The 23,049-nt window shown below is 45.9% G+C and overlaps 1 protein-coding gene and 1 long non-coding RNA gene across 25 annotated transcripts in view, besides 2 other annotated features; one reads left to right on the forward strand and one right to left on the reverse strand.

The window, feature by feature from the left end:
* DENND2B (DENN domain containing 2B) overlaps positions 1-23,049 on the reverse strand; it is a 217,600-nt gene that overhangs the window by 61,095 nt on the left and 133,456 nt on the right. The window lies entirely within an intron of this gene.
* Positions 4,400-4,900: an enhancer, noted in NCBI's record as "H3K4me1 hESC enhancer chr11:8780393-8780893 (GRCh37/hg19 assembly coordinates)". NCBI's record gives its function as "activates a minimal SCP1, AML or CMV promoter by ChIP-STARR-seq in naive H9 embryonic stem cells {active_cell/tissue: H9 hESC(naive)}" and the evidence as "EXISTENCE:reporter gene assay evidence [ECO:0000049][PMID:30033119]".
* Positions 14,332-23,049, forward strand: part of DENND2B-AS1 (DENND2B antisense RNA 1) — a 41,499-nt gene continuing 32,781 nt past the window's right edge. Inside the window, exon 1 of the long non-coding RNA NR_120590.1 lies at positions 14,332-14,375. This is a non-coding gene — a long non-coding RNA (DENND2B antisense RNA 1). The remainder of the gene's footprint in view (positions 14,376-23,049) is intronic.
* Positions 19,986-20,165: an enhancer, noted in NCBI's record as "active region_4392". NCBI's record gives its function as "activates an Ori minimal core promoter by ATAC-STARR-seq in GM12878 lymphoblastoid cells {active_cell/tissue: GM12878}" and the evidence as "EXISTENCE:reporter gene assay evidence [ECO:0000049][PMID:35858748]".

Genomic DNA, 23,049 nt, shown 5'->3' on the forward strand with positions numbered 1-23,049 from the left:
TTGGAACTTTCATTCCCTGCTGGTAGAAATGTAAAATGGCACAGCCACTCTGGAAAACAATTTGGTAGTTCCTCAAAAAGTTATACTCAGAGTTACCATATAAACCAGGATGACCCACTCCTAGGTATCTGTTCAGAAGAAATGAAAATATATGTCCACACAATCACTTGTACATAAATGTTCATAACAGAATTACTCATAGTAGCCAAAAAGTGGAACTAACCCAAATGTCCATCAACTGATGATAAACAAAATGTGGTATATATCAACACAATGGAATATTATTCAGACATAAAAAGGAGTAAAGTACTGATACATTCTACAACATGAATAAACCTTGATTCCACTTTTGTGAAATGTCCAGAACAGGCAAACCTACAGAGACAGAAAGTAAACTAGGAGCTGCCTAGCACTGGTTGAGGGTGGCAGAATGGGACATGGCTGATAGGAGTACGGGGTTTCTTTTTGGGGTGACAAAAATGTTCTAGAATTAGATAGTGGTAATGGTTGTACAACTCTTGTGAATATATTAGAAATCATTACATTATATCAATGAATTTTACAGCATGTTAATTACATCTCAATATAGACGTTAAAACTTAAGAGCTAAATAAATCTTTTTAAGTGCCTTGGAGAGTGGGTGTGAGTGACAACACAAACGACACATCAAGCATATTTCCAATGTCAAGGTGCACCACAGCCTAGGCGAACACCACCATCACGGAAGCTGAACAGTTTACAAACAGTAGTTCTCTCCCTCTGATTGGTATCCTCCATCACATTGGCCAAAATGAAGTATATCTGGATGTGAAAGTTAAACATATTTATTTATGGCCACTGATGACCTTAATCCTGGAGACCATCTTACTTATTACTTTGGTGCAAATAAGTGATTGGTTTTGATGATAAAAATAAGTCAAGTCCTAATTCTTGATAGCATTTATACTTCCTTCCTAATCTCAAGATGAAATGTACTAGCTCTAATTTTAACTTCGCATAAGCTCTCAGGGTTGTGGTTTTAGTGATGGTGATAGGGAGTGGTATGTTAACTGGAAAGAGAGGAAGCAGCCAGTAGGCAGGGGATGATTAGCTGATGGTGACAGCAATGAAACATCCCTCCAAGGTGAATACGGCAGATGCTTCTGGAAAAAGGAAACCAACTCTAAGCCTCACTTTTACCCTTCATAAAATGGAGTTGGTCCAGCTAACTTTTTTCTTTTTGGTAGAGATGGGGTTTCTTTATGTTGCCCAGGCTGGTCTCGAACTGCTGGTCTCAAGTGATCCTCCCGCCTCAGCCTCCCAAAGTGCTGGGATTACAGGCATGAGCCACCATGCTTGGCCCTATAAATTTAAGTCTATATTAATAGCATAACATTAGTGATGGTGATGATGATGATGATGATAAAGTCAATCTTGCCCCCAGGGCATCTACGCACACTGGCTCTAGTGAGATACTCTCTACCTGTATCAGCCCAGTGCCAAGTAAAGTGCTTGGCATATCATATTGCTATATGTACAACAGAGAAGGGAGAGAAAAGGCAACCTCTGGACATTTTCTCAGGCCAGTTTTCAGGGTCCTCAGGAAGCACAGTGCTATAGGAATCAACTTGCTAAGCATCAGTTTTCAACTGTAGCAATGATCACAGTAACCATCACCATCCATGAAAACAACATTTGACCTGCTCTATCAGTTCCAGGGCAGGCCCTTGGAGAAAAGGCAAAAGATTTGTGGCATGACCAGAAACTGAAACATGTTAAAAAAACATGATGAAAAACATATTCTTTCTTTCCCTGAATTTCTGCTTTCAGGAGGGTAGACTCACTGCTCTGAAATGCTATCATGCAGTTGTATATGAGAACACAGAGCCAACTTACTAAGAAAGAGAAATGTAGTTGACTCTGACATCTGGGTGGCTAAGAAGAAAAATCCTGTGAAGATGTAACCAAGAAAGAAGCAGAACAAAATTGCTTCCAGGCCCATGACAGGGACCCTTAGTCACATTTCTCCAAGAGTGCAGCTGCCATTCTCAGAAGTGGCCTGGGAATTCAGGCATCTTGAGCTGGCACTGCTGAGAACCTCACAGGGGCGCACTAGGTTAGAAACACAGATGCCTACTCACCAGCCTCCCCACCAACTGCTCTCTCTGGGCCAGGTCTATCAGGATCAGAGAATAATTTGGGACTTGAGGAGCTGAAGGCCAGGTTAACCCTTTACACCTGAAGCTCAGGCTTGAGGACTCTCAGCATTCTGGCTTCCTGGGCTACACCATTTCTCCCCACCTCCTACAAGCAGCCCCAGGCCCTCATCTATGCTTTTAGCCTGATATCCTGGCTAGTCAGACTGCAGGGAGAGAAGACACTCCTAAAGCAGAGGAAATGCCCATGGGAATGGAGCAGAGACTCAAGCATGATGAGAGGCTTCTTTGCTAGTTCCCAGGCCCTCAATGGCAAAGTCTAGGCAGAAACTGCATGTTTAGAAAAGGAAATTGTTCAATTAGCATATACCATCCATCCAAAGTTCCTCAAAAACACAGCTCTGACAAATTATAGACAACTATCTGAAGAGTAACAATCCAGAGAAAGGAATAGAATAAGGTACCTCTGGAACTTTTCTACAAACTGCATCCAGACAAACAGGCACAGTCGCAGGCCCCGAGGGGCAGTGGAAAAACACCTGCCTTGAGTCCAGCCCTGCCTCTGACAACTGCTAGTTATGTGACCTTGCTCCAGTGAGTGTCAAAGACTCACTTTGTCACTATAACAGCCATAATAGCAATATGACCTACCTCCCATGATTGCCCTGTCTGGCAATAGAAGCTTAAAAAATGTTTGTTCTTCCAGATCACACTTCCCTAGGTATTTGGAAGACAACCTCTCCATTCCCAAGTCTGAGTCATCTTTCAGACTCCCTAGTACTATCATTCCATTCACTGACCCTATGTGAGGCACTGTGCAAGGTGCTAGGATATTAACATGGAAGACACAGTCCCTGCCCTGGAGAAGCTAACTGTGAAGGGAGACAAGAAAGTAAAAAGTGGACTCCAGGAAGGCCTCATCAGAAGGTGACATTTGGATTAAGCTTTAATCTGTTACCCACAGTAAGGGGACCTAAGGAAAAGCAAAGGAGCATTTATTATGAGACACGCTGCTAGACTTTTAAACATGTAATTATAACAGCTAAAGTTACAAGCACTTCATGTGTATTAAGTCATTTAACCCTTTAACAACCCTGTGAGGTGGGTACTATTAATATTTCACAGGGTTAGTTACACTTTACCAAGGAAACCAAGATAGAGAGCAGTTAATTAGCTTGCTCCAAGTCACACGGCTAGAAAGGGGCAGGGATTTATGACCAGGTGGCCTGCACCAGCTCTGGGCCAGGACCCTGTACTGCCTCCAACTGTCTTCTAATTTAGTTCTCACCATTCTACAAGGTAGTGATAATACAGTCTCCTTTTTTCTGATTAGGAAATTTAAATTCAGAGAAATTAAATGACTGGACCAAGATCACTCACCTAGTGAAGGAACAGAGCAGGAATGTAGACCCAGCTCTGTCTCACTCCATTGTCCACTTATTTTCTTTAACATTGATGGGGTGCTTTAAAATGCAGAGTCCCAGGCCCCACCTACTGAACGGGAATCTGTGGGGATGGGGCCTAGGAATCTGCATTTTAGTAAGCGCTTTAAATCAAGCTTATATGCCCTTAAGTGCAAAAACTTGTGTCCCACAGCATGTTCTCTAGGGACTTAATGGAGTCACGACTCACCATCTTCCCAAGAATCTGCCTAGCTATGTGCAACTAAAAGATGGCACTCAGCCCCTCTTCCTCCTACCCCCATCCCATTAGCTTCTTCCACCACACAGAGAACCACTGGCCCTCAACCACAAAGGAACGCACACACCACGGGATCCAGTGAAAGCATTACCAATGGCTCATCTAAGCCATTTCGTCAGTCTCCAGGTGTGCTCCGTCTTCCTGTATTTTGAAATTACTCTTCCTGCCACCCACCCTGATCCCTTTGCTTGCTTTCTCCTCATTTCTAAGCTCCTGGGAAAAAGAGTTTATATCAGTCATACACTGGTGGTCTGCAGAAGCAAAAACATGTCTCACTTGGCCTTCCTTTTATTTTTAAATAATTTGAATTAGTTGTCAAGCTTAAGAAAGCAGGTGAATAGAAAGAAAAATTCAGATTCTAGCTTCTTTTGAAAAATGAGAAAATTTACCATCACTGTGTGCACTCCTATATGACAACAGTGGGCCAGAGCTGAGCACAAGTGGCCCAGTTAGATGCCGCGGCTCCCTCCACCGCAGCGCTGTGCCTCCTCATCCATGGCCTCCACCTGGTCCACTCGGCTCTAACCTGACCTCCCAACCAGCAGGTAAGTGTCGCAGCTCTCTAGCCTGCATCCCAGCAGGAAGGGTTAGGAGGCACGGCATTGGCAACAGCCACACAAAACCTCCTGGACGGCTGGGCAGGAGCAGTGCAGGGCACAGCCTCCTGGCTGCTTGAAACCCCCATCAATTCCCCTCACTGCCACAGGAGGACAGACCTCCCGGAAGGCTGACAGCTTTTGCTCAGTCCAGCCTTCACCAGACAACTCTCTACCATCCTGAGTGCCCTTTCTCCCTCTGACCCGATCCCATCACCTGATCCACAGAGGCTCTCTCAAAGGTCCAAGAAGGGACCGATGAGAGGTCAGTCTCTGAAGGGAGCTCTTTCTGAGGGGTGCCCCACCTCTAAGAATGGACCTTCCTATCCTAGAGCAAAAAACCTGTCTGTCCTTGTTTAGGTGACATTTCTAAATGTCTGTCTGATACTTTTCTGCAGGCATAAATGTGGATGTGACAGTATGCCTTGCTCTTGAAGCAGGAGACAGCTGAGCCCTGAGTGAAGAGGAAGAAATGCAAGCATTTGGAGGAAAGCCTCCCATTCTGCTGAGGTTAATGTCACCACTGAGAGGAAACGTAAACATTGCCCAGCACTCTGCTTTATAGCCGAGGTAAGAAGTCAAGATGCCCGAAAATAGGAAACCTCTCAACCACATGAGAGAATTTCTGCTACATCTATGTTCCACTACTCTCCTAAGCAATTCTGCTCACGTGGAAGTCAAAGTTTAGGCAGCAGCCTAAAGGGACAGAGAAGGTGGGAATGGGAACAGAGCTCTTGTGTGTGTTCTGAGAACATGGTGAGAGCCAGGAAAGGGCCAGCAATACAGTGACAGTATAGTGACCCAACAGTGTGCAGCTGTGGCCTGATTGCCCTGGGACCAACCTGCCTACTCATCCTGCCCAGCAAACATCTCCTCAGACCCTCTTTACCTTCTTGCCAACTCCTTCCTGCACCTCTCCTCATCCATGGGCCCTGGCCAAGGACATGAGGAACAGACTGGCAGCTCCCCAGAGGAGGGCTGCCAAGAGTCTCAGCAACCAATACTGGCCCTCAGATTCTAAGGAGCTTAACAAATGCAACTAAATCAGGATGATCCTTCTCCGCATGGGACTTCAACCTCACCCTCAGCACTTGTGTCTTCTGGATCCTCCCATCAGCCCCTGTTCTTCCTGAAGCAGCAAGGCCTCCTGCTAAATTCCTGTGGAAAAGCTCCCCTGCTTCCTAGAAAGAGCTAAGCTCACCAATGCTATAAGCAAAAGGCACAGCCCCTCTCTGCCTAACCTCCCGACAGATCGACGACTTGCCTGGTTCTCTAAGGGATAAAAGGGCTCCTAGAAACATACTAAGAACCTGAGCCCCTTTCCTTCTATCTTCTCAGTGCTGCCTCCATTCTCTCCCTGCCATACCTCCCTTCCCCTGACCTGCCCACACAACCCAGAGCCGCTGCAAGCTTCAGTAACCTTAGATTAAGTTCCTTGTAAGTACCCAAACCAAGATTCTCAAAAATGTGAGCTTTCGCCTGTAATCCCAGCACTTTGGGAGGCAGAGGCAGGAGGATTGTTTGAGCCCAGGAGTTTGAGACCAGCCTAGGCAACAGAGCGAGACCCTGTCTTTACTAAAAATAAAAAATTAGCAGGAGGTTGGTGATGCACACCTGTAGCCCCAGCTACTTGGGAGCCTGAGGTGGGAGGATCACTTGAGCCCAGAAGTCCAAGGCTGCAGTGAGCTATAATCATGACACTGCACTCCAGCCTGGGTGACAGAGTCAGACCCTGTGAGAAGAAAAAAAGAGAAGAGAAGAGAAAAGAAATACCAGGAAGGATTTTCTCAAGACTGTCCCATTCCCTACAAAACAGTAAACCCTTTTCTCCTTCACTACTTCTATACACATTGTAAATCTTAGATCTTCTCCATTCCAGCCCCAGGTCCAGAAAGCCCTTCAAGGAAAAATGTAATGGGGATAGTGAGCCTGGTCAAGTGGAGAGGAACCAACATTTGTTTTGCTGGGAGGTCAGAGGATAGGTGGGTGTTTTTACAGGCCCCCGTGAGGCTGAAATCTCCCTCAATCAGCCACAGGAAAGACAATTTTTTTGTTGTTGCATAATAATCAGAAAAAAAAGTAAGAACTTTTTCCATCTCTTCACTGTCCACTTATCATTCCCACATCCTCCTTCCCAACCCTCCTCCTCAAAGAAAGCCCTTTAAGTCTGCTTTTTCAACCTCAACCATTTTTCAATCCCTTTTCCTGCCAGATGGTCCTTCTCCACTTCAGTGCAGATCCTGCAGAGGTTTAAAGCTGGGTTTACACACTTCCTGAAAGCCTGAATTGGAGTGAGGTCTTGTTAGGCAATTTCAGGCCAAAGGAAATCTAGTTGTTTCTCACATAGTTTTAAAAACCTAGACATGGCTGTTTCTGCCATTCTGGAAACTCAGCCTCTCAGCAAGTGGCTTATCCTAGCTCTGTCAAGACTATGGCACCTACTCTGCCCAATATCTTGTCACCACTTGGAAAAAGGAGGCAGATTGGAAGCCTGATCCATAAAAAACCCTGCTCCTGGGGACCAACCACTGCCCTCTTTCGCTCTGGCAAGGAGAACATGGTGGGTCCTGCAATTTCGATGATCCAGAGGCCATAGTCCTATCTTAGAGCAGCACCTTCACTCTGGCCAGCCACATCTCACTGGATGACATTTCCTGCACATGCCAGGAATGTTCATGCCGCCAAGCTTTTGTTCAACCAATTCCTTTGATTTTCAGTGTCCCTTGCCCCCCATTCTTTCTTAAATATCCAGTTCAAGTGTCAACTTCTTCCTGACTCTAAGTCCTGACCTCCTTCTCACCCTTCCCACGCTCTCTGGTCTAGCTGAGCTCAACCTGACTGATGGCAAGCTGCCTCCTCTGCTCTAGAAGAAACTTATCATCCACAAGCTGCACCTTCTCCGAGTAAGACTAGGAAATAATAAAGGCTAAAGGGACTGGGCAAAATCCTAATACCTCCGTTTTACCACAGATAGCTTACGGAGACTACTCCACCTCTATAATGAGAACACAAAGAACAATGAGAAGCCATCTACAAAGAACAGTGGGTACTCAGAGCCCAGTGCTACTGGAAGTCTCCGGGCTGGGGTTTAGCTTTCCCTCCAGCTCTCAACTTCAACACCTCCTCCCTCATCCTCACTCTTTTAGCTGCCTCTGCTTCCGATTCCACTAAGAACAGATCCTCAATGAGCTACACTCATCACATGTACTCCCCACCAGCATCATGGCTCCTGTCACCCCATCTATTCAAAACTCTCAAAACCATAGCTCCCATTACTCAAAGTAAAAACCAAAATCTTTACAATGACTTATAAGGCCCTCCATTGTCTGGGTCCCTTTTATAACTCTGGCCCCATTTCAACTACTCTTTCTCCTTCACTGTCTCCACTCCAGCCACACTGTCCGATACCATGTGCTCAAACACACCAGGTGTGTTCCTACCCCAGGGCCTTCACACCTGCTGTACCCTGTAAGTAGAACTGCCCTCCCTAGATAGGGTGAACAGCAGTTGGGCTCCACAGTCCAGGCCCATCTCTAGTTACCTCTGGCCTTCCCAGTGAAGGGTCTGACCCACTTACAGCAACCACAACCACTCAGAAAATTCAAAAGGGGGCCTCCCCCTGTGAAAACCCAAACGATTCTGGGCAGGAGTAGCTTCAGCCCAAGAACTCAACTAAAATTGCTCTCTGAAAAGCTTATAAGACCAGGCCCAGTGGCTCATGCCTGTAATCCCAGCACTTTGGGAGGCCGAGGCAGGTGGATCACCTGAGGTCGGGAGTTTGAGACCAGCCTGACCAACATGGAGAAATCTCATCTCTACTAAAAATACAAAATTAGCCAGGCGTGGTGGCGCATGCCTGTAATCCTAACTACTCGGGAGGCTGAGGCAGGAGAATCGCTTGAACCCGGGAGGCAGAGGTTGCGGTGAGCCAAGATCGCGCCATTACACTCCAGCCTGGGCAACAAGAGCGAAACTGCATCTCAAACAAAAAGTGATAACCATAATGAAAAACACTGACAAATTAGACTACATTAAATAAGAACTTTGTTCATTTAACAAATGCCATACAGACAGTGAAAAGCAAACCAACAGAGTATAAGACAATGTACTCAGTAGACCATCCAACCAAGAACTCATATCCAGAATATATGAGGAACTTCTACAAATAAATAAAAAACAACTCAAAAGAAGAATGGCACAAGTAGAACAGATACTTCACCAGAGAGGATACCCAAACAGTGAAGAGATATATGAAAAGGTATCCAACTTTATTAGTCATCAACAAAATGCAAATTATAACTGAGATGTGATACCCATTAACATACCCACTGGAATGGATAAAATGAAAAAGAAAATACCTACTGTTGGCAAGGATGTGAAGCAACTGGAATTCTCAAACACTGACAGAGGAAGTGTAAATCAATACTACCACTTTGGAATAACGTTGGGTATTATATACTAAAGCTAAATATAGGTATAACCCATGACCCAGCAATTCCTTTCTTAGTTTTATACCCATCAGAAATGCATACACATGCATACTAAAAGACAAGTATGAGAATGTGCATAACAACACTATTCATAATGGCTATAAACTAAAAATTCAAATGCTCATAATCAGAAGAAGAGAAGGCAAATTTTGGTATTTTACATAATGATTACTATACAGCAATGAGAATGAACATCTGCAGCTACACACAACATGGATAAATCTCTCCATTATTCTGAATAAAAGAGCCAGAAACCAAGAATACATACTAGATGAGCCTATTTATAGAAAACAATAAAACCCAAAAATAAATCAATGCTATTAGAAGTCAGGAGAGTGGTTACCCATAGGAAGACTAGAGGGAGATTCTGGGATATTGATAATAGACTGTTTCTTGATCTGAGTGTTGGTTACATGGGTTCAGTTGTAAAAATTTGTTGACTTGGATACATATATACATTCATGTTGTATGATATACTTCATTAAAAAGTTTAATATAGCAAGCAGGATACAGAGCTCAGCAGATTTGGGAACACTGGATCCACAGAGCAAAGTTATTAAGAAGCAGTAGAGAGGCCAGGTGTGGTGGCTCAAGCCTGGAATCCCAGCACTTTGGGAGGCCGAGGTGGGTGGATCACTTGAGGTCAGGAGTTTGAGACCAGCCTGGCCAACATGGTGAAACCCCGTCTCTACTAAAAATACAAAAATTAGCTAGGCATGAAGGCAGGTGCCTGTAATCCTACTCAGGAGGCTGGGGCATGAGAATCACTTGAACCCGGGAGGCGGAGGTTGCAGTGAGCCAAGATCGCGCCACTGCACTCCAGCCTGGGCAATAGAGCGAGAATCAATCTCAAAAAAAAAACAAAAGAAAAGAAAAGAAAAAAGAAGCAGTAGAGGGTAGAGGGTAACACTGGAACTACAGATCTTAGATCATTAGGGCTCAATTTCCCTTTGGAGGAAAACCCTTTTTTCCTCAAATTTGGAAGTAGGAGAAGAAAGCACACCTATATAGCCAGGCTCTGCTGGTTCTATGCATGTATTTATATTTAGCTTGTGTAATCTTAGTTACAACTATGTGAAATAGATGCCATTATCTCCATTTTATGGATGAAGAAGCTGAGGCTGAAAGGTTAAGTAATTTGCCTAGCGTTTCATAAGCAGCAGACCCCAGAGTCTGGAGAGGTTGGCATGAGGCTCTAGAAGTGATACCAGAGCACATTAGTCCTTTGGTCTCTGTCATATCTTGTGGCAGGAAGCCACCCTCCATCCCAAGTACACCCCTGCAGCCCCACTCTATCTGGATAAAGAATTAGAAAAGGGGCTGGGCATGGTGGCTCACGCCTGTAATTCCAGCACTTTGGGAGGTCAGGAGTTCAAGACCAGCCTGACCAACATGGTGAAGTCCTGTCTCTACTAAAAATACAAAAATTAGCTGGGCGTTGTGGTGGGTGCCTGTAATCCCAGCTACTCTGGAGGCTGAGGCAGGAGAATCGCTTGAACCCGGGAGGCAGAGGTTGCAGTGAGCTGAGATCGCGCCATTGCACTCCAGCCTGGGTGACAGAGTGAGACTGTCTCAAAAAAAAAAAAAAAAAAAAAAAGAATTAGAAAAGGATATTAGCAGAAGGTCCAACGCCTGGCCCCTAAATTCTGGTTGTCAAAATCCCATTTTTCTTTAAGCCATCTAGTTCAGAAGGCTCTGAGTCAACAACAAATAAGCGTAAGAGATGCCTATCATCATTCTTCCCCATCTAGGGAAAGGGGCTCACACACACAGACCCTGGTCAAACAAAGACCTTCCCCCTAACAATGCAGTCTGCTGGAGCTGAGACTGCAGAGAAAGAGTCTGTCCATCCACCTGCCCAACTCCTTTAAGGGCCATGATGATGACCGAACTTGCCTCTTCTTCCTCCTTTAAACAGAGCAAGTGCTACTTGGCAGTTTCAGGTCTGTGCTTCTCAGACTGTGTGCTGAGGTGCCCCAAAGCCCCATGATGAACTCACAGGGATACTGCTAAATATTTTAAATCTTTGAGGGAAACAGAGCAACACTCAACATTTGTTGAACACCCCATGAGTTCACAGCTTCAACAACAGACTGCATTACATTCTTTTCGATGATGTCATTTCTTTCTGAGGCTGGGTTTTCAGCAGTTGCTGTGATAAAAAGCAAATACCATGTGAAAAGCAATGTGGAACAGGAAATAAGCATGGCACTAATCAATCTGGTTCCAAGGTCTGATATGCTATGCAGTACCTAGTACATCCCATTAGTAAGTGTGGTTAAGAATGGAATATAAATATTTTTCCTTTCAATTTCTTGTATCATTTTTTTTTCAGATGGCTACTCAGTTGTTAGGATATAAATACTCAATTGTTTAAACCTACTTAAGGCCAGGCACAGTGGCTCACCCCTGTAATCCTAGTACTTTGGGAGGCCAAGGCGGGTAGATTACCTGAGGTCAGGAGTTCGAGACCAGCCTGGCCAACATGGTGAAACCCTAATTTTACTAAAAATACAAAAAATTAGCCAGAAGTGGTGGTGCCTGCCTGTAGTCCCAGCTACTAGGGAGGCTGAGGCAGGAGGATCACTTGAACCTGGGAGGCGGAGGATACAGTGACACAACTGCACTCCAGCCTGGGTGACAGAGTGAGACTTCATATAAAAACAAACAAAAAACCTACTTATAAAAGAAAACTTAGGTATTTATTTTGGGCTATGGACACTGTAAAAAAAAAAATTACTGAAACACTAAGGCCCATGAACTAAGAAAGTTTGGGAGTCTCTGCAGCAGGTGTTTTTAAGTCTCTGTTCATGGAGCCAAGAGGAGTTCCCAGGGCAGGCCCAACCCAGCCCCAGAAGTGGGCAGGAGTCAACATTCAGGCCTGTGGCAGCACACTCAGGCTTCCCAGAGTGGCTGGTAGAATAACCCCTCTGCCTGAACAGAAGTGCCTGCACACCAGTTATCCCTCAGCCCAGGCGCCTGCACATCCACATCAGCCTCACCCTAGGCTCCCAGGCACCCCTCTGAACTCCCTCCCTGAAAAGCTCTATTCAGCTCCAACCTCATGAATAAAACCCAAAGACAGCCCAGAAGCCTGCCGGCCAGCAGGGGTCTTCCACACACGCTCAGACTTGGGCAATGTCCACAAGCCAAATCATTAATCCAAAGAGACAGGGAGCAATGGGAACCAAGGAGAGGGCTTCCACTGACAGACCATCCACTGAAAGGCCAACTCAGGCTTTCTGGGTGAAGATCTGCACGAAAATACCTTCTTTGTTCCCACGGGGTTTCTTGCCAGCTATGCGCCCCACCTCCATTCTTCCTTGAAGTCATAATCCTCTGTTGGTGACATCACAGCTGTTGATACAATAGTCAACTGTTGTGATGTCACAGGACTCAACTTTTGTCATTTTAGGTGGGGGTGCTGGGTTGGAGAATGTGACAGAGGACAAGAATAGAATACAGTTATAGAACTGGAATTCGCTTTTTCATGCTAATTTCCCTGGTAATGAAGGGCAGTGACTCAGAAAAGGAAAGGCAAGCCTCTGGCAGCAAGGCTGTGTGTAGATTCGTCTATACCAAGGGAAGGATGGTGGGGAGGCAGGGAGGAGACAAAAGAAAAGAATTTCGAATTCCAGGATTGGCCAAATATGAAGATGATCTCAGTCTGGCCAAGTCCAGGACCTTCTCTTTCCCTCACCTATCGCCTGAGCCCAGAGTAAGGAGAGGCTCCAGGCTGGAACACTCCCTGGAAATTAATGCGTGGGAGGTGGTATTCTGTTGTGGACTCCCAACTGGCAGAGGGACAGACTATCAGTTTGGACTGAGTCCTAAGGACAGTGACCAGGATGGAGAGGGCACTCAGAAGCATGTCACAGGAGAAATGACGGAAGGAACTGAGAATGTTTACCCTGGAGAAGAGAAGGCTGTGGAGCGGGGAGGGTGATCATTGGCTTGGGAATTCGGAAAGGCTCTCGTGTGAAAAAGGGATTAGATGTGTTTTCTAGGGTCCCCCAAGGAGACCTCAGAAAATGAGAGACCCTGAGAGGCCAAAATGAAGAAGAAGTTTTAATTCTTAAATTCCATTTGGAGACTATCAATTCTTTTTAATTCCTTATTTCTCAATTACAGAATACGTTCCAGAGGACAAGGACTGTGTTGTTCATCACAGTATTCCAGAACTTAAAAGGAACTGGCACATAATTGGAGCTTACTAATATTCGTCAAAAAAATGAACAAATGAGGCAATGACAGTGGTCTTGTGAAGCTGCTGCTATTTACAGGGACTCACTCATTCCGCAAGTATTTTTTGCACCTCCTACCACACTCCACTCAGTTACATGCTGGGAATACCACAGTAAAGGTAGATAAGATTAGTCTACCCCCTCGCCTTTGAGATGGGCATGGGTGGCACCTAAGGTCGCTTTCAATACTGAGATTCCTAGATTCTTAGAGTTGACTAAAAAGTTTAAAACTGAGAGGAAAGAGTACCCCAAGGGCCACAGATTAACCCTCCCTTCTACTATCACCACTAGAGATCTGGTAATGAAGGGCAGTGACTCAGAAAAGGAATGGCAAGCCACTGGCAGCAAGGGTGTGTATAGACTCATCTATACCAAGGGGAGTTGGGAGAACAGGGAGGGACAAAAGAAAGAGATCTAGATCGAGCTGTTCCTTCTTTCTGAGCTGGGAGAGGCCTCTCGGTGAGAAAGCACTGCCAGACCGGACGAGAGCAACCAGGCTGGGCACTTATCCAAGTACCCCTCCCCACCCTGAGACAGAGTGGGCTCCCTCAACCCAGCAATAAAATCTGTATGGCCCAGTTAGGTAATATAAGGTATTACATATGACCTCACTTCCCTCAAGGATCTTTAATTTATTTATTTATTTATTATTTAGAGATTAGGTCTTGCTCTGTCTCCCAGGCTGGAGTACAGTGATATAGTAATAGCTCACTGCAGCCTAAAACTTGGGCTCAAGTGATCCTCTTGCCTCAGCCTCCAGAGTGGCTGGGACTACAGGTGCATGTAACCATAGCCAGCTAAGTTTTTAAATTTTTTGTAGAGATACGGGTTTTGCTATTTTGCCCAGGCTGGTCTCAAACTCCTGGCCTTAAGTGATCCTCCTGCCTCCCAAAACACTGGCATTACAGGTATGAGCAACCGTGCCTGGCCAAATGTGCTATTTTCTAATGTGGTTTGTAAACTGGTCAGGAAACAATTCCCAAAGAGGAATCAAATCTACCATCAGGTGAGCAGACCCCTTTAGTAGATGTGACTAGCAGGCTATGGTCACAGCTTATACTTTCTCCCTTTTCCCAAAGTCCTCAATCTCCCTGTAGGAAGCTTGGGGAATGTGCCTCCTGCCCTCTTCTGGACTAGTCAGCATGCTCACCAAGCACACTAAAGCCACCCAAGTCACAGCTGACTCATGCCATTGCTCTTTGTAATGAGGTATGACATGTTTCTAAGCTCTTGTATATTTTCATATTTGTAGCCTACAATTAGGCATTTTTGAGGGATGTAGCTGACTAGGGGTTCTGTTCAGTGACCTATAATTATACACTCAGGCATCATGGTCAATCCAGGCAACTCTCAGGCCTGCAGGAACCTCATGGAAGAAGCCACTTGGCTCTAAGAAGCTCCAGAGAATACTGTAGTAATGTGGCTTAGAAGGGCCACACTGCCCCTCCTTGCTGCTCTTGGAGGCACTCCCCCTATGTCCCCTTCATCTCCCTTATCACTCACTGCCTGACTCAGCAATGCCTGCCAAGCCCAAGTGCTGACACATTTGTGTATCTAGTGCCAGCAGAGAACCACTTTGAGGGACACAGTCTCCACTGCCAAGGTAACAGCAACGTAAAGCAACTTCTTTTTTTTTTTTTTTGAGACAAGAGTCTCACTTTGTCACCTAGGCTGGAGTGCAGTGGTGCGATCTCAGCTCCCCGCAACCTCTGCTTCCCAGGTTCAAGTGATTCTCGTGCCTCAGCCTCCTGAGTAGCTGGGATGACAGGCTCCCATGCCTCAGGTATGGGAGGCATACCACCACTCCCAGACAATTTTTGTATTTTTAGTAGAGACGGAGTTTCACTATGTTGGCCAGGCTGGTATCGAACTCCTGACCTCAACTGATCCACCCGCCTCGGCCTCCCAAAGTGCTGGGATTACAGGTGTGAACCACTGCGCCTGGTCATAAAGCAACTTCTAAAAACTCCCATAAGCGTCTCGTCTTAGAAAAAAGGGGTCACACACCTGCTGCTCATGGGACCCTGCAGTCAGCTGCTGTGCCTCCGCTCTGAGCCAGCCTTTTTGCCACCTGTTGCAGTGGCCACACTGATCCTAATCCTCCCCCATGCAAATGCCTACCACCCAGCTTTACCACTGTTCCCCTGGCTGGGAAAGAAGGACTGGTTTAGCACAAAAAATCTGTCCCTTATGACATTTCACATATACATTTGGCCCCAATAAAACTCATTTCTTGGGCCAAGTGCGGTGGCTCATGACTGTAGTCTCAGCACTGTGGGAGGCCAAGGCAGGCAGATCACCTGAACCCAGGAGTTCAAGACCAGCCTGGGTAACATAGTGAGGCTCCATCTCTACAAAACATAAAAAAGAAAGAAAGGGGCAAAAAAAGATTTCTTGATTTTTTTAACAGCAGCTCAAATCCTGGCATTTAATCAAAGAGACTGCCAGTAGCCCACCTTGTGTAGCTGTGAAGGGCAACTGTGGCCCATGCTCAGAGCAGCATCTGCATTAAGTATGAGCCCAGTATCTAAACTACAATTACTTTGCAAGTTTCCCTTCTTCCCCAATGCAAAGTACTTTAGAGTACTTTATACTTTTCAAAAACACTTTCACGTATTATCTCATTTGAGTCTACCAATAAGCCCAATAGGATTAAATGCAAAAGGTATCTTCTCCATTTCACAAAGGAGGAGGCTGGGGCTCAGGAAGGCTAAGCATCTTGCCCTCGGTTCACTCAATTAGTAAGAGTAGAACCAAGTCCAGAATTGCTCTGCAATCTTCATAAATCAACAATTAGTAGTCACTACTTCATAGAGACATTATAAGGATAAATGAATTAACATATGTAAAGTGCCTGGAATAGTGTCTGGCTCATAGTTAGGACTATGTTATCATTATTAACAGTATAATCACCACCACCCAGAATCCTCAATTCCAAAGCTACAGCTCTTTTCCTTCTATCCTGCTGCATTTTGCTCAGAAAATAGTTTCATCTCACCTTGAGTGAGTCCAGACCTAATCCCTATAGTCAGTCTATGGAACCCAGAACTCACTGGGCTTTTTTTCTTTTTTCTAATTTATTTAAAAAATCTTTTTATGAGCAGGGTCTTGCTCTGTCACCCAGGCTGAAGTGCAGGGGCATCATTATAGCTACTGCAGCCCTGAACTCCTGGCTAAAATGATCCTCCTGCCTCAGCCTTCCCAAGTAGCTGGGATGATAGGTGTGCACCACTGCACAGACTCTATCTTGCCACTCCACGAACGACTCCATACTTGTGTGCACAGGGAAGTACGCACACCCCACCTTTTCTGCCAGTCTGACACTCATCTCCTAGCCTCTCTGATAGCACTTATGCCATGTTAGACACCTTTCTGTGGTTTGCCCTGCCTGCAGTACATGACCTTCACTTAGATCCAATTCTTCATTCATTTAGTTTCTTTCTTCAACAATCATTTCACAAGCACCTACCCTTTACTAAGCCCCATACTAGAGGCTTTTCCTCGAAAACATATCAAATGAAATGTGCAAGAGCAGCGGGATGCACAAGGAGCTGTGGCAGCACAAAGACGCCAGAAAGTAACCGTCAGCAGGCAGCACAAAAGATTTCAGAGGAGGCAAAGCTAAAATGGGTTTTAGAGCAACTAGAGTGCTCTCAGCAGACAAGGGGAGAAAAGGACATTCCACGCTATGGGGAACAGTATATACAAAGGAATACAAAGCAGAATCATATAGAGTATGGGGTATACAATCTCACACTACCAGCATGCAGGGGCTGTGAGTGTGTGTGTGTGTGCGTGTGTGCACATGTGTGTTACTGTGAGATAAATATATCTATGTATTCCATATATAAAATAATGAATATATATAGATATCTCTCTACATATAATAAGGAATATATATATGTGTATATATATACAGAGAGAGAGAGAGAGAGAGAGAGAGAGAGAGAGAGAGCCTTCTTCCCAGTTCTGGGCACAGCTTCAAAAACCCTTGGCATTTCCTGAGGGATGGGGGTGAGAGGAGCCTACTTTGTGATTCATAACAAGTCCCTCTACCATACCTGAATTTATGCTAATGAAGTGAGGATTTATTTCTTACGGTTCCAGAGGCTTGGAAGTCTTAAGATTGATGGCTGAATCTGGTGCGGGCCTTCTTCCTGCATCATCCCATAGCAGAAAGGCAGAAGGGCACAACAGTACACACAAAAGAGAGAGAGGGCAGGAGGGGGCCGGACTTGTTTTTATCAGAAACAAACTCTAGCAATGACAGCATTAATCCATTCATGAGGGTGGAGCCCTCATGGCCCAATCACTCTGAAGGGTCCTACCTCTTAATACCATCACAATGACAATCAGATTTCAACATGAGTCTTGGAGGGGACATTCAAAATATGGCATGCCGACATAGTGAAACTTCCATAAAAACCCAAAACTTCTGAGTTCAGAGAGCTCCCGGGTTGGTGAACACATCAAGGTGCCGGGAGGGTGGTGCACCCTGAGAGGGAATGGAAGCTCTACACACACACACACACACACACACACACACACCAAAATTTTGCCCTATGCATCTCTTCCATTTGGCTGTTCCTGAGTTGTATCCTTAATAAACTAATAGTAATATAATACTAATAGTAGGGTTAATAGTAAGTCAACTGTTTTTCTGAGTTCTGTGAGCCATTCTAGCAAATTACCAAACCTGAGGAGGGGGTTGTGGGAACCGATCCCTCCAACTTTATAGTGAGTTGGTCAAAAGTATGGGTGGCCCTGACTTGTGATTAGCATCTGAAGTGGGGACAGTCTTGTCCCCACTTAATCTATGGAGATTATGCTAGCTCCAGGTAGTGTCAAAATTGAATTAAATTGTAAGAAACCCCAGTTGGTGTCCAGAAAGTTTGGCAAATTGGCAAATGTGAGAGAAAAAACCCCACACATTTGGTGTCAGGAGTGTTGTGAGTAGCAATATATCATACTAATAGTAGAGTGAGTGTGAGAGTGTGGGTGTGTGTGAGAGAGAAGGAAACAGAGACAGGGAAAGAAATTAGATATGGGATGGTGCAAAATGAGGCTAGAAAGGCAGGGATAGGCCTAGAGTGCCATGACCAGGGGACACCTGGGCGGCTCCAGCGTTCCAGCAACCTTACACACTGAAGCCTCAAGGGCATCTCCCTCCAAACTGCCTGGGGGTGGCAGGCAGCTGGGACAACAAACATCAAGCCTGCCTTTCCAGGGGTGAGTGGCAATCCCAACTCCTTGGGTATGCTTACAGCGCACCAATTTTCAATGCAAAATCCTTTAACAACTGTTTTCTCTCTCTTTCTGTCTTTCCTTCCCCTCCTCCTAAAGAAGAGCTGTTTATCCCTCTTCTCATTTCTGCCCCGCTCTGAGCCCTGAGTTTTAGTGCCAGTGCTTTTACACAAATCCAGCTTTACATCTTGAGTGAAATATAATTTCATAGGAATGTAATTCTGGAATGATCTCATTGAAAAAGCACATCCAGCAAAGGCCATGAGCAGACTTCAGGCCAGCCCATTCACACCCAGAGCCAAGAAGACTGCAGACCCCTTTCCCTTAAATGGAGAATGTGCCTGGGACCCAAAGCAAAGCACACCAGCTACCTAGGGATATTCTCCTGCCTACAGCCAGCCAGCCTGCCTGCCTGCAGACCACGGCCAGGGCCCACAGCAGCGACCACCATGAGCCACTCTGGCACCATACAAGGACAGACTCGAGGGCATCCAAGCAAACAGGCCTCACCCCAGAGACGCTGCCTCTGACCCTCGGGAGGGCTCTGGCTCCATGCCATCAAACATGAGCTGAAAATATTAACACTCCCCTGTCATAGCCCCATCAGAGACAGAAGAGTATCCAGAAGCCCAGCTGCTAAAGATCCTCCCCACACCTACCTGCCTTCCTAACTCTCGGAAACCCAATTACCATCTGACCCTATTGAGACAGAGTCAGAAAGTGGGGCATTTGACTCTGAAACTAGATGTCAAAGCCAGGCCCAGCCCAGTCCAGCAGAGCTGAGGCAGAGCAGAACTGGGGAAGAAATAATGTAGTCTGATGGACGCTCAAAAAATCCTACTGAAAAAAATTACCAAGTTGGAATCTCTGGAAAAAATGTCCTCATTCCAAATCTGTTCCCCACCCCCAATGAATTCTCATAAAATGGACCAGAAAAGGAGGAAAAAAAAAATTAATGGCTTGCAGGGTCTATGGGAACTCTCTGTCTCTCTGTACTATCTTTGCAACTGTTCTGTAAATCTGAAACTATTCTAAAATGTAACATTTATAAAAAATAATGGCTTATCACAGTTTCCTCTGTAAGAAACAATGGGAAAAGGGTGATCTTTGGGTATGAAACTCTGCCTCTACCAGCTATGAAGCTTTGGATGTGTTGCCTACCCTCTGTAAGCTTCAGTTTTCTCATCTGTAAAATGGAGAGAACAGTTCCAACCACGAAGTGCTGTTGTACAGATTGAGTAAGATAGTGCATGCAAAGGACTTACCACTGCTAAAAGTGCTTTCTTTCTGGGCAGCAGCAGTTTCTCTGCTCAGTCAGCCTTCACGTTGGGTTCTTGACAACTGCAGCTGGAGACCCTACCTCCACCCTTCAGCCCTACCTGTCTTTATGACTAGCAGTCTCTTCCAGAAACGGCAGGACACTTTAATCCCAAAGCACAGTAATCACCTGAAAGGCTGAAGGCTGCCTTATAGCAAGTTCTGACTAGTGAAAGCACACCTTTGTTGACAGAAACATGTTCTCCTTCCTGCTTTCCCTTCCTCCATTAGAATCTAGTGTCACTGCCATTAGCTGAATGACTTTCCTAAGGGTTACAGGGATCCATCAGAAGGAAAGCCAGAAGCTGACAGAGTTGCGCTTCTGACAGAGAGGAAGTGTGCTCTCAAAATCGCCACAGAAGATTCTTCCCCTTCAGTAGCACCACTACCATCCACCATCTCATCACCACCACCCCAACTCCTGGCTGTGCCCTGCTCCCATCCTGGCCCCACATGAAGCTGGGCTGATAAACTACAAATCCACAAGTCAAGGGGCACAGCAAGTTCCCCAAAACCAAGACATATGTCTCAAGGCTGGGCAGGAAGTTGCCCCCAGGCCCTGAAGCCCAACCCCGGGGCCTCAGACACCTTGCCTCTTGTCTATAGGATGATGTTACTTGCTTCTCCCCTGGGGAGACTGAGATGAGTGGGCAGTCTAGGAACCCTATCTAGGTCTTCTTATTTTTTTCGTTTTTTTTTTTTAATTATTATTTTCACTTTTTTTTGAGACAGAGTCTCTCTCTGTTGCCTAGGCTGCAGTGCAATGGCGTGATCTTGGCTCACTGCAACTTCCACCTCCCAGGTTCATGAGATTCTCCCACCTCAGCCTCCTGAGTAGCCGGGATTACAGGGGCCCACCAACACACCTGGCTAATTTTTGTATTTTCAATAGAGACGGGGTTTCACCATGTTGGCCAGGGTGGTCTCGAACTCCTGACCTCAAGTGACCCGCCCGCCTTGACCTCCCAAAGGGCTGAGATTACAGACGTGGGCCACTGTGCCTGGCCCCCATCTGGGTCTTATAAGTGGATGGACTAGAGACCAAGGAAAGAATCAGGTGAAGAAAGGTATAGCTCTGATGTCGTGTTATCTCCTTGAAAATCACTCACAAGAATGTCAAATACTTAAAAAAACAAAAAACTCTCCCAAGACAAAAGAGAAGTCCAATCTCACCCTGAAAATTTACTGTCCAAATAAGGGAGCAGTCAGTGCTAGAACAGTCAGGCTGTTCCAACTCCAAAAAGCCCTGGGAGAGAGGCAGTTCCCGGGCTTCAGATTCCACTGACAGGTTGTAACCCCTCAAAGCCACTAATGGGCACATTCTAGTGGCTAATTCCTCTGACCTTCCAGATGGCTGGGGTGGGGACACACCCCAGCTGAGACCCAAGGACACTGGTTCCTGGCAGGGAGCATGCAAAATCTCAGCAGCTCCAACCAGGCCAGATTAACAGCCCCATGCTCAAGGACACGCTGCCGGAAGCAGGACCCAGGAGGAAGACGTCCTTGGAGCCATTTCTTCTTTAACCAAATAAGAGCCAAATATAGCCAAATATGAAGAAACAATGTCATCTTCTTTGAAATTTTTCTCCACTTTATCACCTCATACCTAGTTTACTGCAATGGTCTCTGGTTATACAGAGAGCACTTTATCCAGTGCCAGCCCATAGGAGGCACTAAATAAATGTTAAACAGTATTATTGTATGACAAGCTCCCCTTTATTCTTCTACCTCCAGTCCTCTCTGCTCATAAGTGACAGACTAAGCATCCTGGAATGTCAGTATCATCATGTCATTCTTCTGGGCTCCTTAACCGCCAATCACACCAGACTCAGGTTCCCTTAATTGGTTCCAACCAATCTCACTTTCCAATTCTTCCTTCCCTCTTCAGCCAGCCCTGGCCCTACCACCCTCCCCAGACCTGCCCACACAGAGATACACAGACTTGCACATGCACACAGACACGCACGTGCGCGCACGCGCGCGCGCGCACACACACACACACACACACACACACCTACCTCTCTCCAGGCAGGACACCTTCTGCTCCAAACATGTCCACGTGTCCATTTCTGCCCCATGTTTCTGGGCTCAAATCACTGGCAGCCTGGAGTGCTCTCCTTCTTCCTCTCTGCTTATCCAACTCCTAGTATGCTCCAAGGCCCAGGCCAAGGTCCCCTGAAGCTCAGGCTGAGAAGCCATTCAATCCACAAACAATGACCAAGCACCTGCCTTGTGCAAGACACTAGCCCAGTCACTGAGGACACAGGAAGGAAAACAACACAGTCCTACAGGCTCCTGACCGGTGGGAGGGGCTTCAACATGAACTGCTCTGCTCACCTGAACCATGCAGGCAGCAGAGTCAACCACCAGACATCGCAGGCAGCTTGCTGTGCCACTTGTAGGGGTAAGGTGAGGGCAGCACATGAAACCCAGCTAGATGGGGTCTTCTTACCTTTCAAGACTTCAACCTTTCAAAGAAGCCACCACGGCCTAGTGGCTTAGAATATATTCTATTATAAGAACCTTCATTCTCTGTGACCACCTTGGGTAGCACTGCCCCATCTTGCTTTAGAATTTTATCAGCTAGGCTGGGTCCAACCTCATTCAATAATAGCCATGGTCAACTACCTCTCCTTAGTGCCAGGCAAAAGCCTCACATCCCTGCCCTAAGCCAGGGAACAGAGAGAGAATGATCTCCTTAGGGGTTCCTAGGCCTGATGCTACTTGACTACAGAGATGATGGGGGTCACATGGGAGCCAACCCTTAGGCCTCTTTAGGGAAAAAGGGTAATCTGCAATTCTGACCATAGGAGTAACTCCACCCTTCCCTCTCTTATTTAAGAAAGCTTATGAGAGAGTGAATGGGCTTGCTATTATTATAGGTATAATCTTGCATACCTTCTAAATTATAAGAATAGGTAACCCATTTAAGATTACTTTGGTCCTTTAACTCCTGTAGTAACAAATGCCACGTGATACATGCCTCACATCTAGTCCTAAGCTGCTAGTGAGTTACAGTGCCTGGAGAGAAGCAGCTGCTATGAGCTTCCAGTGTGCCACCCCCACCCAGGCACCCCACCTTGGATAGCCAAGAGGGCTACCTCGGTAAAAAAGAGATCCTAAGACAGACTTGTAAGCTCAACCCAGAGGGTAATCCTAATTCATTTCCCCCTGCCCAGGGGAGACAAATGTTGCTATATCAATGACTGGGGAAAAGGCCCACATATTTTTCATGTCTCACCCTCAGACTGGAGTGGCGTCTCACTGCTTCTAGAAGATTGGAACTATTACTGACTTGGTATTCATATGGACCAAAGGTACC

This window comes from Homo sapiens, chromosome 11 (assembly GCF_000001405.40).
Source record: "Homo sapiens chromosome 11, GRCh38.p14 Primary Assembly".
NCBI classification, from domain to species: Eukaryota; Metazoa; Chordata; class Mammalia; order Primates; family Hominidae; genus Homo; species Homo sapiens.